General features: G+C 46.2%; 1 protein-coding gene across 5 annotated transcripts in view, besides 3 other annotated features; it reads right to left on the bottom strand.

The window, feature by feature from the left end:
- The window catches only part of MAPKAPK2 (MAPK activated protein kinase 2), a 49,377-nt gene that overhangs the window by 6,423 nt on the left and 16,113 nt on the right, over positions 1 to 26,841 (bottom strand). The window lies entirely within an intron of this gene.
- Positions 4,718 to 5,431: an enhancer, noted in NCBI's record as "H3K4me1 hESC enhancer chr1:206895773-206896486 (GRCh37/hg19 assembly coordinates)". NCBI's record gives its function as "activates a minimal SCP1, AML or CMV promoter by ChIP-STARR-seq in naive H9 embryonic stem cells {active_cell/tissue: H9 hESC(naive)}" and the evidence as "EXISTENCE:reporter gene assay evidence [ECO:0000049][PMID:30033119]".
- Positions 17,441 to 17,735: a silencer, noted in NCBI's record as "tiled region #3087; K562 Repressive DNase unmatched - State 14:Gen5'". NCBI's record gives its function as "represses a minimal TATA promoter and a strong SV40 promoter by Sharpr-MPRA in K562 cells {active_cell/tissue: K562}" and the evidence as "EXISTENCE:reporter gene assay evidence [ECO:0000049][PMID:27701403]".
- Positions 23,735 to 24,044: an enhancer, noted in NCBI's record as "active region_2412". NCBI's record gives its function as "activates an Ori minimal core promoter by ATAC-STARR-seq in GM12878 lymphoblastoid cells {active_cell/tissue: GM12878}" and the evidence as "EXISTENCE:reporter gene assay evidence [ECO:0000049][PMID:35858748]".

The raw sequence follows: 26,841 nt of genomic DNA, 5'->3' as shown, positions 1-26,841 counted from the left end.
GAGGTCAGGAGATCAAGACCATCCTGGCTAACACGGTGAAACCCCGTCCCTACTAACAATACAAAAAAAATTAGCCAGGCATGGTGGCAGGCGACTGTAGCCCCAGCTACTCAGGAGGCTGAGGCAGGAGAATGGCGTGAACCCTGAGAGGTGGAGCTTGCAGCGAGCCGAGATCACGCCACTGCACTCCAGCCTGGGCAACAGAGCGAGACTCCATCTCAAAAAAAAAAGAAATCTGCTAAGAGGCTTCTTAAAGGGAGCACAAGAAATGTACATCATCTCTCCTGCATATGGCACCTGGGACCATGACAGTCACATTATTACCAGTAAGGGGGGCCTAAGAGGATAAACCAATGCACTGAGGAAGGCAACCAGGAGAAATGGCAATCACCTGGATCCTCGCTGCCATCACCAGGGATCCCTCAGTACTTCTTTTTGACAAGATAATAAACTCTTCTTACTGTTTAAGCTGCTTTTCATGAAATTGTCTATTGCTTGGAGCCAAAAGCATCCTGATCTACCCTTCCTTTGTAAAGTGGGGATGGATAATGGCTTCTGTTTCACAGATTTGTTGTGAGGATTAAATGAAATATTTCCACAAAGCACCTCACAGAGTATCTGACATGCACTCACTAATAGCTGTCATTTTTATCACCAATTGTCTAAGTGCAAGCGCAGGTGCCAAAATAATTAAGACAAGGACACTCACAGATTTAGCATCTTCATGGGAAGTCAAGATGAGCCCTACACAGTCCACACTCCAACTGCTTTGGACATTCAGAGGGCTGGGGTGTCCAAGAGACATGCTGGGAAGGAAATGGACAGGCAGAGGGAAGGCATGAAGGCAGAGGGAAACGTGGGAAGCAGGTGCTGACTGACCGAGATGGAGTGGAGCTGGGGTGATACAGCAGGGAGGCCTAAGAACCTGCTGGAAAGTGTCTGAAGCTTGCAAATAAGATCAGATGGCCATGATGGAGCCAGCTTGCAGAGGGAAGGGAAGGACAAATGAGCATTTCCAACAAGAATGCTGGCATACATTTATGCTATGGCCCATGATATGTTGGGTTTTTCCTAACTGTACATTTGCCATTTTACAGGATGGGGAAGCTGAGGCTCAGAGAAGTAGCATGCCCAAGGCTAAGTTTCTGAGAAAAGGCAGAGCCAAGGTTGGAATCCAGGCCTGGTAGACTCCAAAGACCAAGTCTTTCCACCACACCACCCAGCTTTTAGAGGAGGCTGGAAGCCAAGATTTCTCAGACTGACTTTGCAGAGGCAATTCCCCAAACAGGTGACTAGAAGGAATCAATGACTAGATAACTCGGTCTCTCCCATGGAGTAACAGGTGGCCGGAGCCAATAGTTGCAGGAGGCAAGGTTCCCAGGAGGTCACACTGCCACCTTGTGGCCATATGAGGACACCTCATGGGTCTTGAGTTCTGCCACTTTCAACTTCATTAGGGTTTGTTTGTTTCTGAGACAGGGTCTCGCTCTGTTGCCCAGGCTGGAGTGCAGTGGCACAATCTTGGCTCACTGTAACCTCCGCCTCCCGGGTTCAAACAATTCTCCCACTTCAGCCTCCTGAGTAGCTGGGATTACAGGTGTGAGCCACCACGTCTGGCTAATTTTTTGGTATTTTTAGTAGAGACCGGGTTTCGCCATGTTGGCCAGGCTGGTCTCGAACTCCTGGTCTCAAGTGATACCCCACCTTGGCCTCCCAATGTGCTGGGATTACAGGTGTGAGCCACCATGCCCAGCCTTCAACTTCATTCATTTGGATGTACCAGGAAAAAAGTTTACTTTCCCATGCTCTAAGGGGAGCAAGAGAAGGCACTGGCCAATTTCCTTTGTATATAATTCAATCCAGCAAGCATTTACTGAGCTCCTACTATGGGCCATGCATTGCACTGAATGTCAAAACCAAATAGAGCAGTCCTGATCTGGAAAAGCCTAGGCTAGTGGGGGGCAGAAGAAGATATGAGGGGAGACACAGAAAATCCTTAAAATCCAGTGAGATTACATGCTGTAAGAGTGCTAAATTCAAAGGGTTCAGGAGGAACAAGGTTTCCAGAGCAGCCAAGCAGAAAGAACCTCGATCGCCCCCTACAGGCACACAGGAACTGGAGCCCAGAGGAGAAGAATCAAAGTTGTCAGATTTACTCAGAAGCAATGCCTGGTTGTAGAGTTACAATCAGGGAAGACTTGGCCCAGTCTGAAATTTGTCAATTTCTTCTTGCACAGCCTCACAGAGAGGTCTACCTTTCAGAGCCTGTGCCACATGCATTTAGGAGCGATGATACCTGCCTAGCCTCCCCCTCATAGAAACATTATGAGCATCTAATGAAATAATACCTCTAAAAGTGCTTTATTATCAGAAAGGCATTCATCACTGTCAACCAGTACCATTAATGCCACAGTACAGGGGGGTTCCTCCGTCACCACTGAGTTGAGCTTGGAGCATGTGGATGTAACCAGCACAAGTTATCACCAAGATTGTAGGCTGGGTTTCTGTCTTCAGCCCAGTGACGACCACCAGGACATCTGCCAACCAGAGCTGTGCTAAGTGAGGATGCACCAAGATCCAAATCTAAATGCATGCTCCTTAGCACCCCCTGAATTCCAAGCGCTCACTGCAACTTCCGCACTTTCTGCCCTGAACACGTTAGGAGTGCGTGGCACAAGGCAAAGGAGAGTTTGTGCAAGAAGGGCTAGGTTCACATCACACTTCCAGACTTGCACAAACTCTCTACCCATTAGAGGAGACGGATGTAGCACAGTGAACCTAGGCTTTGCAATCGCATGCATTTTGAATCCCAGTTCTGCACTTCCTAGCTTGTGTCATGCAAGCCCACCTATCTTTCTGGAAAGGGTTTCCTCATCTGTAAAATTAGATTCAACTTCGTGAAATAATATCCTTGAAGGTGCTTCAGAAACTCTATATAGGGTAGTTTCCACTTTGAAAAAATTTACCATTTTGCATATTTATGCCTTATCTGCCCAACCTAACTGAGTTTCTAATGGGCAAGATCTAATTTGATTTCTGTTTACTCCCTCCCCTCTTCCTTCCCTCACCTAGTGGTTAGGAACTTCTGAGCTAACACCCCCTCATTCTGTTGCTTCTTCTCCCTACTAAACTCTCTCCCCCAGTGACTGAGGGTGAGCTGTCCTTTCCATCCTGAAATAAATTGGAAAAGGTAGTATTTTAAATTTCTTAGAGAAACTTAGCAAGAATTTCCCATGAAGACTGGTCATTGCACATCCTGCATTTGTATTCCAGAACTTAAATTAAATTTAACAAAAAAAAAAAAAAAAAGGACTGGTCATTGACATCCATCCAGGCACATGTTTATCAGAAATCCCTGACTGGATAAGAAAATCAACCCAAGCAATGAAAGCCCTTCAGATGGGCGAGGCAGGCTGGCTGACGTCCTGGGGGCACAGCCCTGAAGTGCCAAAGTGGCTCTGTGGACAAGTGTGGAGCGCAGAAGGCCTGGAGAGAGGAAACCAAGAATGTGCTAATCTGGAGTACAGGGCTAAGTAAAGAACAGCAGGGGAGGTGGCCTGCACTCCAAGCCAAAGAAGAGACAGGGAAGGAAAGCAGGACTCCTAGGGCACTGCCAGAGGCCACCAGCAGAGCGAGGCGGCAGGTCCACCCAGAAGCCAAGGCCCCTGCTCCTTGGGCATGGGCATGGCCATGGGCAGTGAAGGCCAACAGGCCCTGAACCATGCTCTGAGGACTGGAGACTAGAAGAAGGAAGGGTCTTCCCACTAAAAAGCCATAGATCATTAGTCAAAGAATGCCTGGAGGAATTGTGAAATATTTTAAGCCCAAACTAAGCCCCGGTCCAACATTGTGACTCACCTCAGCCCCACAGTTTGTGCCTGAAATTCTCTTACACGTAGAAAAGGTTAATGATTGCGTGTGCTCAGCTGCAACGCCACAGGCAAGGCCCCCTGCCAACTGTGGCAGGGGCAGGGGCCCAAGCCACAGAGCGCATTGCCTGGGAAGGAAGCTCTAGGACAGCGGCAGTGAGGGAGCTGCGGGAGCTGCCTAAATACAGTCCCATGCCTCTCTGTCTCTTCCAGCACCTGAGGGGAAGAAGGACAGGACCCCTCCCCCTATTCAAGGTATGCATGGTTCCCCTCATCTCCTCCTGCAAGTCTGCCATTGTGGAGCCACGTGGAAAGACTCAGGAGTGGTCAGCATTAGAAGCCTGGCTGAGCCAGAGGACAGGAAAGCAGCCGGCACCCAGGGCCTGATGTGCCACTCGTCAGCAAGGTGGACATGAAGACAAGACTGGGAAGGAGCAGGCCCCAGGCCCTCAGGAGGACCCCCTTCACAAGCGCCACTGCTCACTAGCTATGTGAACTGGGAAAAGTTTCCAACCCCTTTGTGCCTTGGTTCCCTTACCCATTAATAGGACAGTAATAGTCCCCACCTCATGGGCTTGCTATACAAGATGAGTTAATAGATGTGCATGATGTAAATAACTAAGAATAACGCTTGGCACGTAATAAGTACTGCATCCGTGTTTGCTATTATTATTCTGCTCCCCACTCCCCATGTGTTGGAGTCCCACTGGGGGGGGCAACTGGGATTCCATTACACCCATTTCAATGAAGGTGTTATTAATAGCTCTGGGCACTGGACAGACGGGGGACCCCAGGACACGGGGAGGAAAGCAGGCTGTGGCATCCCAGCCCTGTACACTCCCTCACTACACCACCTAAGCTGGGCGCATGTAATGAGAGAAGGAAGACATCCCTCCCCAAGACAGACTCTGATTCAGCGCCAAGAGCGATGCAAAAGGCTGATTCTGGCACCAAGTGTGTTGTGGGTGTGTGGTGCGGTATGTGTTGGCAAATAAGACCTCCTCTTCACTCCCAGGAGGCAGCTGGGGGTCGGGGGAAAGCCACGTGTGTCACACACTAACCCACCGTGCCTCCAGGCCAGGGCCACCCACTCTGGTTCCCGGACCACCGGCGCCTCTGCTGCACCACATGGAGGATGGCTGGCCCGGGTGCTCTGAGGGGTGTAAAGGAAAGAGGACTCGGGAGGGCAGCTGCTGCAGGTGAGCCTCAGCAACCTCTTAGCAAGGTGCTGGAGCAGGCTGCAGGCCGAGGGGGGCTGGCAGTGCTCTGTGCTAAATGGCTGCTAAGTACTGTTGGCCCTTGAACAACCCAGGTTTGAACTGCGTGGATCCATTTATACAGGGATTTTCTTCCACTTCTGCCAGCCCTGCAGCAGCAAGACCAACCCTTCCTCTTCCTCCTCCTCTTCCTCAGCCTACTCAAAGTGATTTTCTTAACGATGCTTATTTTCTTTAGCTTATTTTATTCAAGAATAAAGATATAATACACGCAACAGACAAAATATGTGTTAATCAACTATGTAATCAGTAAGGCTTCGGGTCAACAGTAGGCTATTATTTAATAGTAGTTCTAGGGGAATCAAAAGTTTTCTTTTGTTTCTTTGTTTTTTTTTGTTTTTGTTTTTGTTTTTGAGACAGAGTCTCGCCCTGTTGCCCAGGCTGGAGTGCAGTGGCACGATCTCCGCTCACTGCAAGCTCCGCTTCCCGGGTTCACGCCATTCTCCTGCCTCAGCTTCCCGAGTAGCTGGGACCATAGGTGCCCACCACCACGCCTGGCTAATTTTTTCTATTTTTAGTAGGGACGGGGTTTCACCGTGTTAGCCAGGATGGTCTCGATCTCCTGACCTCGTGATCCGCCCGCCTCGGCCTCCCAAAGTGCTGGGATTACAGGCATGAGCCACCGTGCCTGGCCTTTTTTTTTTTTTGAAATAGAGTTTCACTCTCATTACCCAGGCTGGAGTGCAATGGTGCGATCTCGGCTCACCGCAACCTCCACCTCCCGGGTTCAAGTGATTCTCCTGCCTCTGCCTCCCGAGTAGCTGGGATTACAGGCGTGTGCCACCATGCCCGGCTAATTTTGTATTTTTAGTAGAGACAGGGTTTCTCCATGTTGGTCACGCTGGTCTCAAACTCCTAATCTCAGGTGATCTGCCCAACTCAGATCAAAAGTTTTATGTGAATTGACTGCCCAACCTTTGCATTGTTCAAGGGTCCACTGTGCTTCAAATGGGTCATCTCACCCACTTCACCCCCACCCTGGGAGGAAACATCCTATTTTATAAATGAGAAAACTCACTGAGTCATTAGTTCACGACCTTTTGGCCAGTTGTCCCTGGCAGGGCTGGAGTTTGAACCCTGCTCTGGCTGCTCCTAAAGCCTCCTTTCCACCACCCCACAGTAAGGCAAAGAGTTCAAAATCTGCCCAAGACTGTCCACAACAGCAACAGCCAGAAATGGAGGCTGAAAATGCCTTAAAGTGCAAACCCTTTGATGTTAAAATTCTACTTTTAGAATTTCATCCTCAGGTATTAATCATAGACGTATCTTTAAGAAAATATACATCTCAAGAGTTATTTACCTTTACTAGAAATAGCTAACAAACTTATTAGTCTACTTTGCATTGCTATTAAGAAATACCTGAGACTGGGTAATCTGTAAAGAAAAGATATAACTGGCTTATAGTTCTGCAGCTGGTACAAGCTTGGCACTAGTATCTGCTTTTGGTGAGGCCTCAGGAAGCTTACAATCATGGTGGAAGGTGAAGGGGGAGCAGGGATGTCACATGGCAAGAGCAGGAGCAACAGGGGTGGGGTGCCACCCACTTTTAAACAACCAGATCTCCTAAGAACTCACTATCTTAAGAACAGCACCAAGCCATTCACGAGGGACCTACCCCCATGGCCCAAACACCTCCCACCAGGCCCCACCTCCCACACTGGGGATTACACTTCAACATGAGATTTGGGAGAAACAAACATCCAAACTATATCACAAACTTAAGGCCCAGAGATAAGTAACAGAGGTTGTTTTATGTAAAAGTGAGTTTAGCTACACAATCTACAGCCACTGAAATGGTGTTTCAGATGAATATTAAATGGGGAAATGTGGATTCCTGAGTGTCTACTAGATTCTCAGGTATCATCACTGTCATTGTCTAGAATACTATCCTATTTTTTCTTCTGCATCCCAAATCCCAATGTGTACTTTCTTTAAATTTCATTATCAAAACATGTCTGATGGTAACTGAAAGTTACAAACCCTTATGTACAGCATAAACTCAGTGCTCTATGGATATTTATTGGATCTGTATATAAAAAAAATAAAGGCATAGGGGCTGGCCATAGTGGCTCACATCTATAACCCCAGCACTTTGGGAGGCCAAGGGGGGCAGATTACTTGAAGTCAGAAGTTCATGACCAGCCTGGCCAACATGCTGAAAGCCTGTCTCTATCAAAAAATACAAAAAAATTAGCCAGGCATGGTGGCACGCACCTGTAAGCAATCCCAGCTACTTGGGAGGCTGAGGTGGGAAAATCACTTGAACCCAGGAAGCGGAGGTTGTAGTGAGCCTGCACTCCAGCCTGGGCAACAGAGTGAGACTCTGTCTCAAAAACAAAACAAAACAAAACAAAACAAAAACAATAAAGGCATTAAGACTCAATGAGTTGTTAATGGTAATGATCTCTGAAAGACAGAATCACAGATTTAATTTCCTTTATTATGTCTGTATTTTCTAGGTGATTTACAATTAGTATATGTTACTTTTTAAAGAGACAAGCTTAGCTCTCTAAATTTTAGTCAGAGGGCAGCCATCCACGTCTCAGGCCCTATGGCCATGGAGCATATCTCTGGGGCTTCCGGAAACTCTGCCAGGTGGAAGATCTGGAGCCAGAGAGGGACACAGGAGGAGACACATGAGCACTTGATCCCATCCTAACAGAATGGATCACTCAGTGAAACCCCGGAGTGCCTAGCATGTGCCACACACTGGTTTAGAGGATGCCAAGGGTATAATAGAGAACATGACAAATAAGCCCCGTGACCGCCACAGAACTTAACATTTTAGTGCAGGAGGTACACCAAAAACAAGCTCAAAGAAAATAGTTTTAATTATACACTGTGATTTGTGCTGCAAAGGAAAGAAATAAGATGCTGCCACAAAAGCAGCAATGGTTTAAGGGAGAATCCTTCTCATCTCTCAAAATTACAGACAGCTGCTTATAGGCTGGAGCAAGATGTCACACTTCTCAATTAGCCCAGCTTGGAAGCATAAGAGGTGGCAGATAGAGCAATCTTGGCTGAACTACTGACGTTCCTCTACATTGATTGGGGAAGAGAGTATGTCCTCCTTTCAGAGCCTCTGCAAAGCTCAATGAGGAGTGACGATGGTTCTCCCCTAGAACCATGATCTAAACATAAATCTAACAACAGGTTTTAAAAGCCTTAGAAGGTTGATGAGATAAAGATATCACACAGACCCTTCACGTGGGTGCACACATTCCCAAACATTTGGTTGGGAGGCAAAAGCAAGTCTCTATTTGTTATTAATGTTCATTAATATGATGGGGAAAAGTCCCTACCCAAAACAAAGCTAAAACTTACAACGGGGAATCCCAGTACCAAAAGCCTTAAAACAACCACGCGTCACTGCCCAGAAGATGGGGCCTGGCTCGACTGCGGGCCACTGTGCCTGTCGGCCCCCTCTCCAGAGCTGTCACAGGCAGTCACAAAAGCCTAGGGCTCAACAAAAAGTCAAGAGGCCTAAAAATCGCACTGTAGATGACAAATCTTTAAAATATTTCCAACACATGATGGATAAAAGGCTAACTTAACTCAGGCAAATCAATTGTTGAAGATCAACAACCTAATATAAAAATGGCCAAACGATAAGAACAGGCAGTTCAAAGCAAGAGAAACACAGATGGCTGAATGGAAGACACTCAGTGTAGCTCAAAGAGAAATGTTTATAAAAAAGATGATAATTTCACCAGACTGGCAAAAAAAAAATTTTAATGTTTGACCAAAATAAAACTCCCAGGTTTATGCAAAGATCTGGGGAGAAAAGGCACTCTCTTACACATTCAGTTGGTAGAGAAATAAACTAGTATTTTTGGGGAGGTATTTGGCCATGTCTATCAAAATTGTAAATGTTCAAACCTTGGACCCAGTAATTACCCAGCAAGAAACCATCCTACACATTATATTCATAAAGCATTTTAATGGCAAAAAAACTGGTAATAACCTAAATGCCTACCAATAAGAGGGTGGTCAGATAAATGAAATGACAGCAAATCCATACAATGGAAAACGTGCGGTGTCGTAGAAGAAAGAGGCAGCTCCCCATCCACGGCGACGGGGAGAGCAGGATGCTATTAAATGGGAAAGCAGATAAGGACCAAGATGATATAATACTTTGGCTTTATCTTTAACATCCTATTTTTTTTTTTTTTTTTTTTTTGAGATGGAGTCTTGCTCTGTCGCCCAGGCTGGAGCTGCAGTGGCATGATCTTGGCTCACTGCAAGCTCTGCCTCCCGGGTTCACGTCATTCTCCTGCCTCAGCCTCCCAAGTAGCTGGGACTACAGGCGCCCACCACCATGCCTGGCTAATTTTTTGTATTTTTTAGTAGAGACAGGGTTTCACCATGTTATTCAGGATGGGCTCGATCTCCTGACCTCGTGATCTGCCCGCCTCGGCCTCCCAAAGTGCTGGGATTACAGGCGTAAGCCACAGCGCCCGGGCAACATCCTAATTTTTTAAACAGAACTGCTTCCACCTTACTTAAGTAGCTTTTAAAGTATATTCATAAAGACAAGAAGCAAACACACCTAAAAGTTAATTAGTGGTTAATTATAAGTGGTAGTAATATGGATGACATTTTCTTCTTTTGCATATTTTTTAAATTTTCAAAAACAAAAAAGTACTGAACAGAATATATAGCATAATCCCATTTCTATAGTTTTGTTGTTATTGTTTTGTTTTTTAGGGAAGAGGGGAGAGGATATATGAAATTGTAGATGTTTAAGTTTTTTTCTGGAGGAATTTACCTCCCCTGCAAAAAAAAGGTAGCAGTGTTGACTACTGGGGAATAGGTACTAGAGAGAGGCGTGTATTTTTTTTTCTTTCTGTTTTATATCTCTATGTATTGTTTGAACCTTTACCATCTGAATGAAATTTTTTAAAAAAAATTAAGTAAAAGGGTTTGGGTTCTGAGGTGCAGTATGATTCAGGTCTTATATTTGAACCCCTGGCCTGAGACAGTGACAGAGATGTGCCCCAAATGTAGGCCAACCTTCCTGCTAGAGGCAGGAGAGCACAGATGAGAAATTTCACACTGGCCACAGGAGGAAGAGAGGCCTTGCATAACTCTAGGTCAGAGGCCACACTTGACCAGGCCTGGCATCTTCCCAGAGGATGTAACCCTAAGAATTGATAAGGAGCGAGCAGAGGCCCCAAAGCCCCAAACCACTGCTGCAAGCCACTTCTGACTTATATGGACATGAACACTGCACACAGCAGTGATGTCAACCACACAGGAGTCTTGGGTAGGAAACTGAAAGATGGGGACAGAGATATTTCTTCTGTTTCTTCCAGCAAATGGCACTGAAAGAGAAAGAGGAATTTTCATTTCAACCGCATCAATTATGTACCAGGTGCACTTTATATATAGCAAATATTGCTATATTTAAGCTTCCTAGCAGCCCTACAGAACAGGATCCATTGCTGACTCCATCGTACAGGTGCGGCAACCAAGGCCCAAGGAAGTATTAATAATTTGCCCAAGGCCACATGGCTAGTAGGTAATAAAGCCAGGACTCAGACCCAATTCAGATCTAACCTTTTATTCACAGCAAAGGAGGCTTTGACAAATAAACCCTGAGCTGGTAATATTAGTTTACCGCTGGCCTCTCTCGTCCCCTCCTAAGTGACTCGTCTTTGCTCTGTTCACAGGCCTGCCCTATTCGCATCAGGCCTGGGGCCAGAGCCCAGTAGAGAAGAGTCACAATAAACACTTACCAATTAAATGGGCAGACTGTACACCAGAACAAGATACAAGGCATCTTTCCCTAGGAGACCAGGCAGACAGTGGTAGGAAGGAAACACCCTAAATGTTCCAAGTTGGCTTTAAGCTAAAATCCAAGTGGCAAGAAGAGAAAGATCATGTTCTTAGTAGTATCTAGGTATCTAGTATCTACTTTAAAAAATCCACAGAGATGGACAAACTAGCAAGAGAAAGTAAGACGGAAGGAGGTCAGGAACACTGCGCCTCTGGCCTAAGCAGCCCCCATGCATACGACCCTGTGCGGCTGCCAAAGCAAATCTAAAATTTTACTTTGAAGCGACAAAAGCAATCTCACCTTCATCACCCCAGCTGAGCAGAATGAGACTCACAGCAACGTATACCTGAGTCCACAGATCTCACAGGGGGTGGAGGAGAGTTGACAGAGAATGTGGAGGAAGAGAAGGATCCTACAAATCAAGAGGGCGGCCCACACACACACATCCCCCACCCAGTACACAATTCCACACGCCTAAGACTGGAGACAACTGGGTGAGGAGAGAAGGAAAAAGAACCGGAAGATAGATGATTGTTATGGTGACACACAGCAGACTACATGGCCAGGGAGAAGACAGGAACCACTCTTTCCTACACAGTGAGAGAAATGGCCCAGACACAAGAGTGAGTTCAAGCCACCAACACAAACACAAGGTCACTGTGAGAGAGAAGTCGAGGTCATGCCTTCTGCTACGAGCAGGGCACCTGATAAATAAATTCTCACTCTACATTACCTCTCACACAGCTGAAGATACAAGGAAGGGAACTATTACCCTGAACTTACTTCTGGCCAGGAAGAAAAACCTAGTAAATTATGTTTAAAAAAAAAAAAAATACTTCAGCTAGCAAAAACAATAATAACAAGAACACCACATTGGGAGGAAGTAAGCTTGTCAATTCAGAGTTCAAAGGAGGGAAATTAAAAAAAAAAAAACTGAGACAAAAACAGTTGTTTAGCCTAGACTTCAAAAAAACCAATATTCAGGTCAGGCGCAGTGGATCACACTGAAATCCCAGCACTTTGGGAGGCTGAGGCAGGAGGATGGCTTGATGACTAAGAGGATACAAAAAGGAGAAGGAGGAGTTCAAGACCAGCCTGGGCAACACAGGGAGACCCCGTCTCTATGAATAATTTAAAAAATTAGCAGGGCATGGTGGCACTAGCCTGTGGCCCCAGCTACTCAGGAGGCTGAGGCAGGAAGATCACTGAGCCCAGGAGGTCAAGGCTGCAGTGAGCCAATGATCGTACCACTGCACTTCAGCCTGGGCAACAGAGTGAGACCCTATCTCAAAAAAAAAAAAAAAGAAAGAAAGAAAAAGAAAAAAAAAACCAATATTTAGATGTTGAGACCAAGGAGTATGATGGGCAGAGATCCCAAAAGGGAATGCATTTTGAAAGACAAGGTCCAAGTCTCTAAAAAGTGAATTCTGATCATCTAAAACACAATAATCGCTTAAAGAAGAAACCAGGAGGAGGCAGCCACAAATGTCAGGGAGAAGTGAAGAGCTGAGACAGTAAAGGATGTGTGCAAAGACACGAGCAACTGCCCATGAGCCAGGACAGGCCCGAAGGGAGTAGTCTGCGCTCACTAAACACAACAAGCAGAGCTTGTGAAAATGCTAGGAGCATGTCTTCAAGCTACATCCAAAGCCATAAGAAGAACCAGGGAGGAAGTGGCCCTGGGATGGGGACAGAGACTCTAACACACAAAATGACAGAGAATGGAGAATTTTCATCTCCAGTATTTCCCATCTTTTCTATGAAGGAGAATGCTCCACAGACTAGAACAAGCTAAACATTTACACACATGCTCTCTCTCAAGAGAAGCCTCAATTCTAAGCTAGACCATAAACCAACTTACAATCACCCAGAATTACATCCCAGGATGCAGAAGGAAAGTACAGGTTGATTCCAGAACCACTGCTGGCAGTGGTTCAGGAGCTGAGGGGAGAGGAGGTGGCAAAGATCTGCTTTCTGGCAGCACACATTCTCTCGAAACCTGGTACCCACAATGCTCCAGGCACTAGACCAAGCTCACAGGGCTTCAAGGTTCACAGTCTAGCCAAGAGGGAAAAAGAAGCAATATGTAAACAAAACTGTTAATAAACTATGATGACTAAGAGGATATAAAAAACTGGGGGGTTGGGACTTCTTTTTTTTTTTTTTTTTGTGACCGAGTTTCACTCTGCTACCCAGGCTGGAGTGCAATGGTGTGATCTCAGCTCACTGCAACCTCCACCTCCCAGATTCAAGCAATTCTCCCACCTCAGCCTCCCGAGTGGCTGGGATTATAGGCTCCCACCACCACACCCAACTAATTTTTTTTTTTTTAAGTAGAGACAGGGTTTCACCATGCTGGCCAGGCTTAGTTTCGAACTCCTGACCTCAGGTGATCCGCCTGCCTCAGCCTCTCAAAATGCTGGGATTACCAGCATGAGCCACTGCGTCCAGCCGGCACTTTTGTTTGTTTAAAGGGAAGGGGACAAATAGGATAAACTCCTCAACATCTGCCTCTGGAAAAGCTCTAGAACAAATCATAATCTGAACCATCACAAGCTACCCTGGGTCGCTTAAGAGGCCACAGCAAGCTAGTCTCGTTTCCTTTTTAGCAGAGTTTACTGAATTATAGACCAAAGGAATGCCAGACGCAAGGGGTCTGGACCTCTATGAAGTATATGAACACAGTCTCCTGCCCAGACCTTAGGGATGACAAAGGAGGAGGCAGTGAGATGACAAAGCATTTAGATAATATTTGCAGTTGTTATAAATGGCCAGTAATAAAGTGCTGTTTGGTGGATCTAGGACAGGCTGCTGAACAGGCACCAAACTGAACTCACGGCCCCTTTGAATTTGCTCCCGGATCTCAGTAAACGGCAATGACATCACTATCTAGCCAGGCTCCCAGATATAAATCTTGAGTACTCATCCTCAGACTCTCTCCCTCCGTCACCCACAGAAGCAATCCAATTTTGTCTCTGGGAAGATCTCCCAAATCCATCTTTCCTTTTCCAGTCCTGCTATCGCTTACTGGGTTGCAGCCCCTTTTCTCTTGTGTGCTTTCTCTTTTTGAGACAGGGTCTCATTCTGTCCCCCAGGCTGGAGTGCAGTGGCATGATTTCAGCTCACTGCAAACTCCGCCTCTTGGGTTCAAGCAATTCTCCCACCTCAAGCACCTGACTAGCTGGGACTACAGACATACACCACCACGCCTGGCTAACTTTTTATTTTTTGGTAGAAACGGGGTTTCACATGTTGGCCAGGCTGGTCTCAATCTCCTGACCTCAAGTGATCTGTCCACCTCGGCCTCCGAAAGTACTAGGATTACAGGCATGAGCCACCATGCCTGGCCTACTCTTCTGTGTTTTCTAACTGGTTTCTAGAAGGGAGACGTACTCCATCCCAGTACATCTTGGGTCACATGCTGAAAGGCAAAGCTGAGCAGGACATTTTCCTCCTTAAACATCTCCACTGGCTGACATGATAAAATCCAAATTCCCTAACTTAGTCTTCCCTAGCTCCTATCCACATCATCGCTACCCTAACCTCCCAACACATCCCCTATATTGAAGCTACAATGCACTTCCTGACCTCAGGCAAGCCAGGCCTTGTCATGACTTCACGTCTGTAAGAACCATGGCAATGTCACCTCCTCTGTGAAGCCTCTCTGACCACTTCCAGGCAGAGTCAGCCCCTCTGCCTCTCTGTGCCCACAGACTCTTGCTAAACTCCTACTTCAGCACTCACCAGTGGGATTTATAAAACGGTTTCTCTTTTCACTGTGGACCATGTACCTCTTGGAAGCTGGGACAATGTCTTGTTCATCTTTTGATTTCAAATCCTAGACCCGGTACATGGCATTTAGGAGGTGTTCAATAAGTATCTACTTGTTGACTAAACCCAAAGAACAACTTCAGTGGCAAACCTATTAGTGTGTGTGTGTGTGTGTGTGTGTGTGTGTGTGTGTGTGTGTGATGGAGTCTCATTCTGTCGCCCAGGCTGGAATGCAGTGGCACGATCTCAGCTCACTGAAATCTCCACCTCCCGGGTCCAAGAGATTCTCGTGCCTCAGCCTCCTGAGTAGCTGGGACTACAGGCGCCCACCACCACACTCAGCAAATTTTTATATTTTTAGTACAGATGGGGTTTCACCACATTGGCCAGGCTGGTCTCAAACTCCTGACCTCAAGTCATTCACCCACCTCGGCCTCCCAAAATACTGGGATTACAGCAGGCATGAGCCACCACACCAGACTGGCTTTGCCTAGTATTAATATTTTACCAACAAGCTGACTAAAGACATAGTAGGCAGTAAGCTTATCAAACTTCCAAGTGACACCCCCTAAGAAAACAATGGGAGAGGCAGTCTGTGCTAGGTAGTAGATTTTTAAAAGATTACAGTAGGAGAAAATATACGCCAAAACTAACAACAACAACAACAAAAAAACCCATCTTCAACAGCACAGGATGAAAGAGACTTTTCTCTAGTCACATCTTTATAACATGAATGAGAGCCAAGGTTCTGAAGCCAGGCTGCATGGGGGCAGTCCCAGCTCCTCCATTAAACTGCTGTGGGCCCTGAGCACCTTTCCTAACCTTCTTATACCTCCGGTTTCCTTCACTGTAATACAGGGATAACAACATTATCTAACTCGCAGGTTGTTATTTAGTGAATAATAACAATATAATTGCACTTAGAATTGTACCTGACTCAGTAAGATCTTTTTTTTATTATTTGTTGTCGTTGTTAAAAGCTGCTTCTAAGAACAAGGAAGAGAAGGTGTAAAGCATTGTGATTGCAAGGGCTCTGAAATTACACTGCCCCAAGTTCAAACACCAGCTCTAAAGCTTAGTAGCTGCCTGACCTTAGCCAGTTACTTCACATTCTAAATCTCCATTGAACTCATCGATTAAATGGAGTTTATGATAGTATCCATCAAAAATATTCACTTTAGCATTATTTCAAATTAGGGGACAGAAGGAAATAAACTAAACAGCTGTTAATAGACAACGGGGCCAGGCACAGTGACGCACACCTGTAATCCCAGCACTTTGAGAGGCCGAGGCAGATGGATCACTTGAGCCCAGGAGTTTGAGACCAACCTGGGCAACATGGCAAAACCCTGTCTCTACGAATAAAATACAGAAAAAACTAGCTGGGTGTGGTGGCACAGGCCAGTAGTCCTAGCTACTTGGGAAGCTGAGACATGAGGATCACTTGAGCCTGGGAGGCAGGGGTTTCACTGAGCAGAGATCACACCACTGAACTCCAGCATGGGGGACAGAGTGAGACCTGTCTCAAAAACATAAAAAAAAAAAAAAAAAAAAAGAATGAGGTAGATTAAGACATACTGAAATCAAAAGTTCTTCAAAAATACATTCTTCTGGCTGGGCACAGTGGCTCACACCTGTAATCCCAGCACTCTGGGAGGCCGAGGTGGGTGGGTCACTTGAGGTCAGGAGTTCGAGACCAGCCTAGCCAACATGGCGAAACCCCATCTCTATTAAAAACACAAAAATTAGCTGGGTGTGGTGGTACGCACCTGTGGTACCAGCTACTTGGGAGGCTGAGGCATGAGAATCACTTGAACTCCGAGAGGTGGAGGTTGCAGTGGGCTGAGATAGCGCCACTGCGCTCCAGCCTGGGCGACAGAGAGATGGTGTCTCAAAAACAAACAAACAAACAAACAAAAAAAACTTCCATGAAAAAAGCAAGTTGTAATTTGATACATATAGTCTGATCCCATTTTGTAAAATGTTTTAAAAAGAGAAAAAGCATGGTGTGTGCATGTGTGCATGTGTATTCACCCACACTTTTTGTAAATACAGGCAGCTCTTGCTTTGCACAGTAATGCGGAACCATAAAAATGACCATGCAAAGCAACCCTAATCACCAATGAGGAAAATTATGATTTTTCCACGACATTTAAAAATTTCGGTCAAAACATTAAAAACTCTCTTGCTGTCAAATTATAAATAAGGAAATGAGAAAACAGTAAAACTATTTATTGTGTATACTCTAAAACATTAGAGTCACTGAGAATGAGTGTTTTATTGCTTTGTAAAAACCTTATCCAGAGTAATTTGAACAGCACTTGCCTTCTTGTTGTTTAACATCCAATATGGAATGAGTATCTTTCATATGCCTTTGCAAATTGTCATACTCCTTTCTAAGTTTGGATCTGCTTCTAACGTTTTATCCTTTGCACTTTCGATGTTGTGAAATATCTTCAAGGTGCCTTTAATGTGAAGTTTCCTTCTGCAGTGTCACCTCCTCTGGGACCTCTTCATCCTTTTCATCAAACCACTTTCCTCATTTATGCTGACATGCCACCTTCACTGAGTTTCCCAGGCTGTATATGTAGTCTTGAACAGTGACAGTGTTGACATTCCCACAGTCAGCTATCTAGTCTATATAATTCCATTACGTTTGGCTTGAAATTCACTACCAGCATTACCACATTTCATTTGAAATTTCATCTTTCTTGGCCAATTCCCTCATCAATTGTCCATTTTTGTAAAATGTCACGAGTTTCTCACTAGGAGACAGGGAGGCAACACAACTACACACTTTCCTGTCTGCGTGTGAAGTGAACAGATAGGCAGTGACCAATCACCAAAAGACTCTTCAAGAAGAAACATGATTAGTCAGTGACCATGAAGAGCATCTGTTATGTACATAGTGATCTGTGGACTGAAGAGCTAACAGCAAAGTTTGTACTGCATGCAGTTACTTGTAATACATATATCCTGGCAACTCAAATTTGAGCCAAATTCTTCGAGGACTGATGTTATTTAACCAAACCATAGTAACTGAAATTCACACAGATTAGAACCATGAAAAATGAGGACTGTCCATAGAAAGAGCATAATCTGTAAGTATATATGCTAAAGAGCTGGCAGTGATTACCTTTCAGGAAGAGCTATATTGTTTAAATTTTTTCTCGGTGACTAAGCTCTACACCTTGGGAATAGTTCTCAACCTGGTGTTAATTTGCCCCCCAGGGGACGTTTGGCAATGTCTGAAGGCATTTTCTGTTGTCATAACTTGGGGGCATGGGTAGATAGATGGTTGCAACTGGCATCAAGTGGGTAGAGGCCAGGGATGCTGCTAACTCCTACAAAGCACAGGACAATCCCCCACAACAAACAAAGGCTTATCTGGTCCAAAAGGTCAACAGTGCCAAAGCTAAGTACCCTAGTTTTAAATCAAGGAGTTTTTATTAAGCTAATTTGAATAGTACCTTTCTCACCAAGTGGTAGGCAAAAACTAAATGACACAATGGCAAGTAGAAAGTTCATAATAAATGCCATTAGTATCAGAGGCTCGGACTGACTTCAAGCTGAATGGATATCTTAATATGACCTTAGATTTGTGGTATTTTTACAAACATTAACTCATCTGATCTGATGCCATGACGTGGCTGCCAAAAAGTTAATATTTCCTTCAGCTCACAGATCAAGTACCTAGCTCAAGACAGGGATCCAAATGCACCCACACTCTATATTTCTCCCATACCTAGAATCCACATGTAGATCACATCGAGCAGCGAGAACTCAGTTCTGGGCAACACATCTGTAAAAGAGTATTATACTTCCAGAGGAGGACAACCAGGATATAAAAGATCTGAGGAGCATAACATAAGAGCAACAGTTCAATAAACTAGGGTGAATTGCCGGAAGAAGAGAAACCCTGAAGGAGCAACTGAGGGACTGGATGTGATAACAGTCCTAAAATAATTGGGTGCACAGTACAATGAGAGGGCAGGGCAGAGAGTCAGATAGGAACAATAAGTAACAGCCTCCTGTAACTCTGCAATCACACTCCTCGTTGTTTACCCAGGAGAAATGAAAACATTACATCCACAACAAGATTTGTGCAAGAATGTTAACAGGAGCTTTATTCATCATAGCCCAAAACTGGACACAGCCCAAATGTCCATCAACAGGGGAATGGAGAAGCAAATTTTATCATATCTATACAATGGAATACTGCTCAGCATAACAAACTACTGATACATGTCACCATGCAGATGAAATTCACACAAAAGGGAGAGTTCATACTGATTATCCCATTTATATGAGGTTCCAGAAAAAGCAAAACTAATCTACAGTGAGAAAACATCAGAACTGTGATCACTTGCGAGGGGGTATGTGTTGGGATGATTGGGAAACAACACGAGGGAATTAATTAGGTAATAAAACTTTTTGTTCTATAGTTGACAGAGGTTTGGGTTGCACAGATAGAGGCATTTATCAAAGCTTATCAGGTGATACCTTAAGAGTTGTGCATTTTTCACTGTTAATATAAATATTATCATCAAAAAAATGCATGAACAAATATTGAACTCAAATTAATGCCTATGTATGCTGAGATGTTTAGGGGTAAAGTACATTGATGTCTGCAATTTACTACAAAATGCATCCCCAAAATAAGATGGACTGGTCAATGGATAGAGAGATTGAAACACGTAGAGACATGATAAAGTAAACATAGTAAAAGGCTAATGGTTGAATCTAGGTGGTTTGGTATAATCATGTTCACTGTACAATTCTTTCCAGTTTGCTGCACATCTGAAATGTTTCATAATAAAAAGTTGTGAGGAGGAATAGGAAGTAACAACAGGTGGGGAACACCACAGGGGAAACAAGAGGTGGCTGGGAGGTCACAGGAGGAAAGCGCAAGGGGAAGAAGAGGGCTGGTTTCAGCCAACACAGGGGCCTGCGGAGGGCAGAATTGCAAAAGGCCAGGGTGACCTGGGAACAGACAAACTTAGCCAACAGGGAATCTTAGCATATGTGAGGCTGCTACCCAGACCTTTACTGTTGTTAGTTCTTGTTCTGACTGTGTGATCAGAGCAAGTAAGTCCCTGCCCCTCTCTGGCTGTGGTTGAAGGGATCAATGTACAATGTAGGGATCTGTTTAAAGGATCCCTACTTAACGCTTTCCAGCTCTGTCAGTCTATTCTTCACAGCATTTGTGGAAACCATTTTTTTTAGACAGGAATCAAAGAATGTAGAGACACAATTACAGCTTCAGCAAAATCCAGCTGGTTTCACATAGGCAAAATGCAAGAAGTCTCCTGTTACATCACTGTATTCTCAAAGAAAGGACCTGGGTGCAAGTAGCTCTCAACTGTCTCCATGTGGACTGTCCACTTTGTAGTTTAGCCACAGCAAATGCTAAATCAGTGAGCAGGAGCCCCATGCCCTACCCCCAAACCCCCACACACACCCAGCAGGTCTCTGGGGCACAGAATCTGAGTGGAGCCAACATGTTCCCCACCTTAGGCATCTTGGCGGAAACTAAGGTGCAGAGAGTTGCAGGCATTTTACCAAGGTTACACAGTCCATTAACACAGTGAGGGCTACAACCCAGGGCCCAGGGCAGACCATGTGGATTCCCCAGAAAAGTGCTGGGATCCAGAGAATCCTCCCCAATTTCAGTGCCTACAACCAGCCCCTTTTTTCTCTACCTTTGCTGCTCTGGTTTCCAAGGAAACCAGAGTCTGGTGCTTCTGGCTTCACATCTTAAAGAAGAGGGAGAGATGTATGTTTCTCAAACCAAAGTCTATTACCTCACAAACCAAAAACAACCTCTGGCAGAACTTCCTTCCCACCATTCTCCATGGGGGAGAGATGGAGTTGGGAACAGACTACTTAGTGGGGGCCTGGAGGAAGTCTCTGGAGTGCCTGGGGGTGGGGGAAGTCCTGCTCCCACCCTGGAATGACTGTGGTCATCACCTAGGGGAAATCTGGGATCCTCATCATGCAGGACAACAGGATACCCCGTCTAGGTCCAGATGTGCCACAGCTGCAAGCAGGGCCCTGACAGGAAGTGGAGGCCCAACAAGAAGAAGACCTGTGGGAGAGAGAAGAGCGCGGCTGCAGTGCCGTTCCCTCCTCCAACTACATGCCTACTAAGCTCCAGCTGGAGCCGCAAGGCTGCCAAGCTGTTCGGGGCTGACGGATGGAATGACAGGTGAGGGGAGAGAATGAATGAGGGGTAGGGAAGGGGCTCAGACACTGCCCTGCCTTCTAGCCCCAAGGGGTAGGGAAGGGGCTCAGACACTGCCCTGCCTTCTAGCCCCGAGGGGCTGCAGGTAAATGCTCAGCACTCAAGCCAGGACCTAGAAAGAGCACATCTGAAGCCACTTCTGAACAAGTAAAGCCCCACCCACGGGCAAGAAAAAATTTCCATCATGACCGATTTGTCTAGAAGTGGCCTGAACGTCTTCCCAGCAGCGGTGATGCATACCCAGCTGAGGGGAAGGAGGGAGTCATCTGCACACTTCTGCTCCCCAGGCCTTCTCCATCCTTACCCCATACCCGCCTCGGTGAGCTCAGAGGTTCTTGGCAAGGGCTTGCTCCCTGGGGACCACAGCAAGCCCACGGGGGTCAGAGCTGCTGGTCCCCTCCAGAGAGCCTGGAGCCTGGGAGTCTGCAAGTACAAGCCCAGTTGGCAGCTGCAGCTAATACTCCCGATTCCCAAACCAAAGCCCGGCCCACCCAGACGTCCTGCAGGGTGGTCGGGATAACTGCAGAGCAGCATCTGCCCTTTCTCCACTAACAAAGAGGCAATGATCAGAGGGACTGGCTTTGCTCCTCCCCCATCTGAGTGACTCTGGGTCTCTGTGGCTGTGGCCAGGGAAAGGCAGGGAGAGGGCAAGAAGGAATGGGAGATGAAGGACACCTCCCCTAGCTCCTTCTGGGAACAGACTAACTCCTGTCCCTGTGGGAAGACCAGGAGGGGAAAAGCAGCCTTTTAAGATTAAGCAAATAAATAAATAAATAAATAAATAAATAAATAAATAAATAAATAAGAGATAGGAAATCCTGACCCCGCCTTAATTACACTGGAAGTGTATAATCCTCAGGAAGAGTAGCTGATTCCCACCCCACACTCCCATTTACTCCCAGTTGCCAGTTTCCTGAGAAATAACCACTGCCTCACAGCGAAGCTGCACCAGAAGGGTGTTGAGGCCTGCAACAGGCTCCGGGAATTCCCTAAGCCTGGGTTTGTTCCAAGCGAAAAATCCAGTAAAGCCTCCCAGTCATTTCTCAGGAGTCGGCCATCTGCAGGACCCATCATTCATATCCACCTCCGACCAACGTTCCAAGCACAAGTCCAGCCAGGACTCTCGAATTTTCAAACTCCACAAACTTCCATAAATCCAGTTCACAATTCTGAATTCCTCCTTGAATTTAACCCAAAATGCCTTTGTCTCAGCTCCCTGGGTAACGGAGAGCTAATCGCCTTTCTGCCCTGGTCCACCCTCCAGATGCCCTTGGGTTGGTGGAGAAAGGAGAAAGCATCCAGCCCACCTGCTTCTTCCTGGCTGTCCCTCAAGAGTCAACACAATTGCACCCATCGGAAAGGAGAAGGCAGAGAGATAAGGGAGCTAAATCTTGTTCCCCTCTGCTTCCAGGATTAGCAAGCAGCTGCCTCAGAATCACCAGCCTCTCCCTTGTCCAATACCCAGGCACTCTCGGCAGCCTGGCCCTCCAGCAGGAGTGTCTACTCATGCAACCCCATGCTGCACATTGCTGCTTCCCAGGCATGACAGATGCAGCTGCTATTCAGTGTTTTCATGCCAGGACAAAAGCTTCTCCAGAAGCACAAAGCCAACAGGGAGGCAGACAGAGCTGATTTCAATAGAAGCCACCTGCCGGGGCCCCTCCTCTGCCACACCCCTCCCCCCAACCCACCGTACATACACATGCAAACATACATACACCTTTTTCAAACCTCTCCAACTTGTGCTGACCCAGAGTCAGGTGACTTTTGCTCTGAATCACTGAACAGTTCTCCCAGAGAAGGGGGGCTGTTGCCATTTCTCAAATAGTATTCCGTAGGATGTTAATAAGTGCTAAGTAAAAAGGGGTCATATAGATGGCAGAAGCACCAGGTTAAACAAAGTTAAACAGATTCTTTCACTGTAGAACTTCTCAGAGCTTTTAATTCAGTAATGTGCATTGCAGACTGTTCCCCAGTTTAGATGATCACAGAGTGTCTCGGGACTGGCGCTGCACTTGGAGAAACGGGCGGCTCCTTCTTCCAAGTTCACCCAGTTCCCTGAACATAGCTCTCCTACCACTTGGAGTACACAAGAAATACCTTGCTTACATGTTTCTCCCTCAATAAGCCTGCAGTGAACAGATGAATGGACAGATTAAGAAGTGCACACACACACTTGTGGTGCACTCATCTTCACTTATTCAGTTCAAATGATGATGAAGCTTCTGGAAGGACCATTAGACTTCATAAAAGGGACTGAACCCATGCACACCCTCAAGTCAACCTTGACTGCAGATCATGTGTGCTTATGTCACCACGGACAGATATCAGCCCCTAGATGAGCCGGCTGGTTTTATTCCCTCATCAAGTCCTCCCCGACCCTGGACCTCAGGCACTGTTTTGTATCCGGCTATAAAGGAAGTTGGGTGACTGCTTTCAATGTACTGTACACATCAGCAGTCAGTGAGAAGTCACCACCATAACCATCACACATGGTCTGGGTGAGCTGAGCCACCACCACCACTAATTCCAGCAACCTGAAAGGAAAAGCAGGATGCCTGCCAAGCGTGCCCAGCAAGGGGACCCTGGGAGACCCCATCCGACCTCCTCCATCCGTGGGCCAGGTAACAAATGGACAGGTAACAACGAGTGAGAGACACTCAGACAGGCGTAAATCTTCAACATTTCCCAGAAAGTCTAGTGCGTTCATATTCAAATGACATATCTCAGATTTTCTTTTGGATCTGAAAGTAGGACCCCTCCCCAACTCCAGGAAAAACTATCAGATAGACCCTCACTTTGGATTGGAAAAATATAGCCTGTGTACCCTGGGGTATACCCATCAGCCTCTGTGATTTCCTGGGATAGGCTTTTTGCTTCATTCATAATGAAGCAGACCCTGAAAGGGTGTCTCCCACTGACTTCCGCAGGCAGCTGAACCCAGAAGCAGATGCTCACCTCCCCCAGGATGGGGTGCAGGGCACTCTCAAGCTCCCCGCCCTCACAAGAAGCCTCTGCCTCTTTAGCAGGCTGCCCCTGCTCTGAAGCCACTGACTGTTCCTGGCCTGCATGTTTCTTACAACGCCTTCAGCAGAGATGGAGATTGTGGTTAGTGTCTGGGTACCTCAAGGGGCTGGGGAATTCCTCATGCTCTGGTTGTGATCTAGAAGGGAGGAGGCTCTGATGTCAGCTCTCCCCTCCTGCCCCCAGGAGCATCAAAAGAAAATACAATGAGATATTACCAGGCATTACGGAAAAGTCTCTATCGCTGAATACAAGTGTGTGCTGCATCACCTTAGGATAAATGCCAGGGTTGATGCCTACCCTCTGTTTCCCAATTTTTCTTGCTTGCTCACTTGGCAAAACTAGTCCAATCTATAGAAATTGGGAATGGAAGAGAACACAGACAGCCCTTTCTAAGGAAGCACCTCCCACCTGCTCTCCAAGCAGCCCCAGCCCCATTCCAGAGAAAAGAAATATGAAGGCCCCTTTTCCAATCTCCTGCCAATACGCCACCCAGGCCTCTTTCCCCTGAACTCTTCTCAAGGCTAGAGAGAAATCTTTGGTTCCACTCATTATTCCATTTGTCTTCTCTAACTGGGCAGGATTATGTTTGGAAGTAGCTGCTTCTGAAGCTGACACTTTAATGCTTGATTTTTAAAAACCTTATTGTTTAAATACCAGTTTTGCCTCTGAAGTAGCCAAACCTCACGTCCTGTCTGTTAATTATCAGCTGCTAAGTAGCACTTTTCTCATTGGAGCTGATGAGCTCTGGGCCACTGAGGGTAAGAATGCCAATGCAGGAAAAGGAGGCTCCAGCACTGGTGCTTGCTTGCACTTGGGGATATCAAGCCAAGTAAGACATAGTTCTTGTCCGCAAGGAGCTTGGTCTAGCAGGGAGGGCCTGGCAGGGGGCTGTAATTTGAGTGCATAGCAGTCATGCAGGCAGAATGAACCCTCACTAGGGCAGAGGAGGGAGGCAGTTCTGCCTGGAATTGGGCAGGGGAGTAAGGGGGTAAAATCTATTATGAGCCTTGAAGGATAAATACAGTTCTACCAGAAAAAACTGAAGATAAGCAAATGTAAGATCCAAGAGAAGATGTGGAAGCAGATAAATGCAAGGCAGAGCGGGAAGGAGTGCTCTCCTGGAAGGCAAAGTGTGGAAGGCAGGACAAACCAGCTTGCTTGAATGCCACGTTCAGGAGTTTGAATTTTACACTGGAAGTGAAGGGAGGCTACTGAAGGTCTCTAAACAGAAATGACATCTGTCATTACCGGGAATGGATGGCTGAATCTCTCAATGTCTCTGAAGAAAACCAGGTCGGTGTTAACAAGTGCTAACATGCAAAGAAGCAGGGACTCTTCCCTACGGAGCAGGATGCAGAGAGGCAGACACACACATGGCCCTCACCGGCTGGATGGCCCTTGGGCTGTCCCTGTAGGGCTCCACTGAGATTCAGACCTTTCCTCTGGCTCTCAGCAAGGCCTGACAATTGGAAGGATCCTGGAATGATGTTGCATCTCTGCATCTCCCTAGAGCCCTTGGCAGATCAAGCACTCTGACGCATGCCATGACTTGGAGTGGCAGGGACCACACCACAGCTGCCCTCAAATATCTGCTGAAGACTGAGTGCAAGGATGAAGATGACGGTTCTGCGAGGCTCTAAAGATGCAATGAGCACCAAAGGATTTCATGACCTCAAAGAACCAAATCTCAAGATTCGAAAAACATAGAACTTTAACAACAGCGAATTTTTCCTTAATGGTAAGGTTTTCTTGAAAAGGGATAAGCTCCTTACCATTGGAAGAATTTAAGCACAGGTATGATAGGTTGGTGGTTGCCAAACCCAGATAATTATCACTTGGGGAGCACATTAAAAATGCACATTCCAGGTTACCTCCTCTGAAGAGTCTTGGATTCAACTAGACACAAAGAGTGGTGCCCAGGAATCTGTATCTTGAAATGCTACCCACAAGTGAGTCTAACAATCATCCTGGTTTGGGAGCCACTGGGCCAGGTGACCATCTCTTAGGATGTAGTCCTCAACAAGGTGAACTCCTCTTTTTTTTTTTTTTTTTTTTTTTTTAGAGACAGGGTCTCATTCTGTTGCCCAGGTTGGAGTGCAGTGCAATAACGGCTCTCTGCAGCCTTGGCCTCCCAGGCTCAAGTGATCCTCCCACCTCAGCCTCCTGAGTAGATCGAACCATGTGTGTACGCCACCACGCCAGGCTAATTTTTGTATTTTTTGTAGAGACAGTGTTTCCCCATGTTGCTCAGGCTGGTCTCGAACTCCTGGGCTCAAGCAATTTGCCTGCCTCAGCCTCATGAACTGCTGGGATTATAGGTATGAGCCACTGCACCTGGCCCTACAAACTAAATACTTTTTAAGATCCTTTTCTAAATGAATACCTTCTACTTGCCCTCTCACCTGGGCTTCAAAACCTCTCCCTGTACCCTTCCTCAAATCCCCTTCCAGCTAAGTGTCTACCAGGATTAGAAAAATTATCTCAGAATCTTGCATTGTCTAAGAGACTATTCTGTGATGATAAAATGTTCTCTATCTGTGCCACATAAAACCGTGGCCACTAGCTAACCACTGAGCACTTAAAATGTGGCTGGCACTACTGAGGAACTGAATTTTAAATGTTATTAACACTTAATTTCAATTTTAATAGTCACATATGGCCAGTGGGTACCACAGAGGCCAGCACAGCTTCTCGTGAAAGAGAGCTTCTGTATTCTCAGTGGGATCCAGGCAAACAAGTAAATTCTGGCCCCACTCCCTCCACCACTCCTCTGGGCTCACCTCCAGTCTGAAGAGATGCACTGGATCACAGGGAGATTAAATTCAAAGAAGACTGCAGGCAAGGAGGGGCTCTGCAGCAGCTGTACCAGAGGCA

This window comes from Homo sapiens, chromosome 1 (genome assembly GCF_000001405.40).
Source record: "Homo sapiens chromosome 1, GRCh38.p14 Primary Assembly".
In the NCBI taxonomy this organism is placed as follows: Eukaryota; Metazoa; Chordata; class Mammalia; order Primates; family Hominidae; genus Homo; species Homo sapiens.
This window is presented reverse-complemented; position numbering and strand designations above follow the sequence as displayed.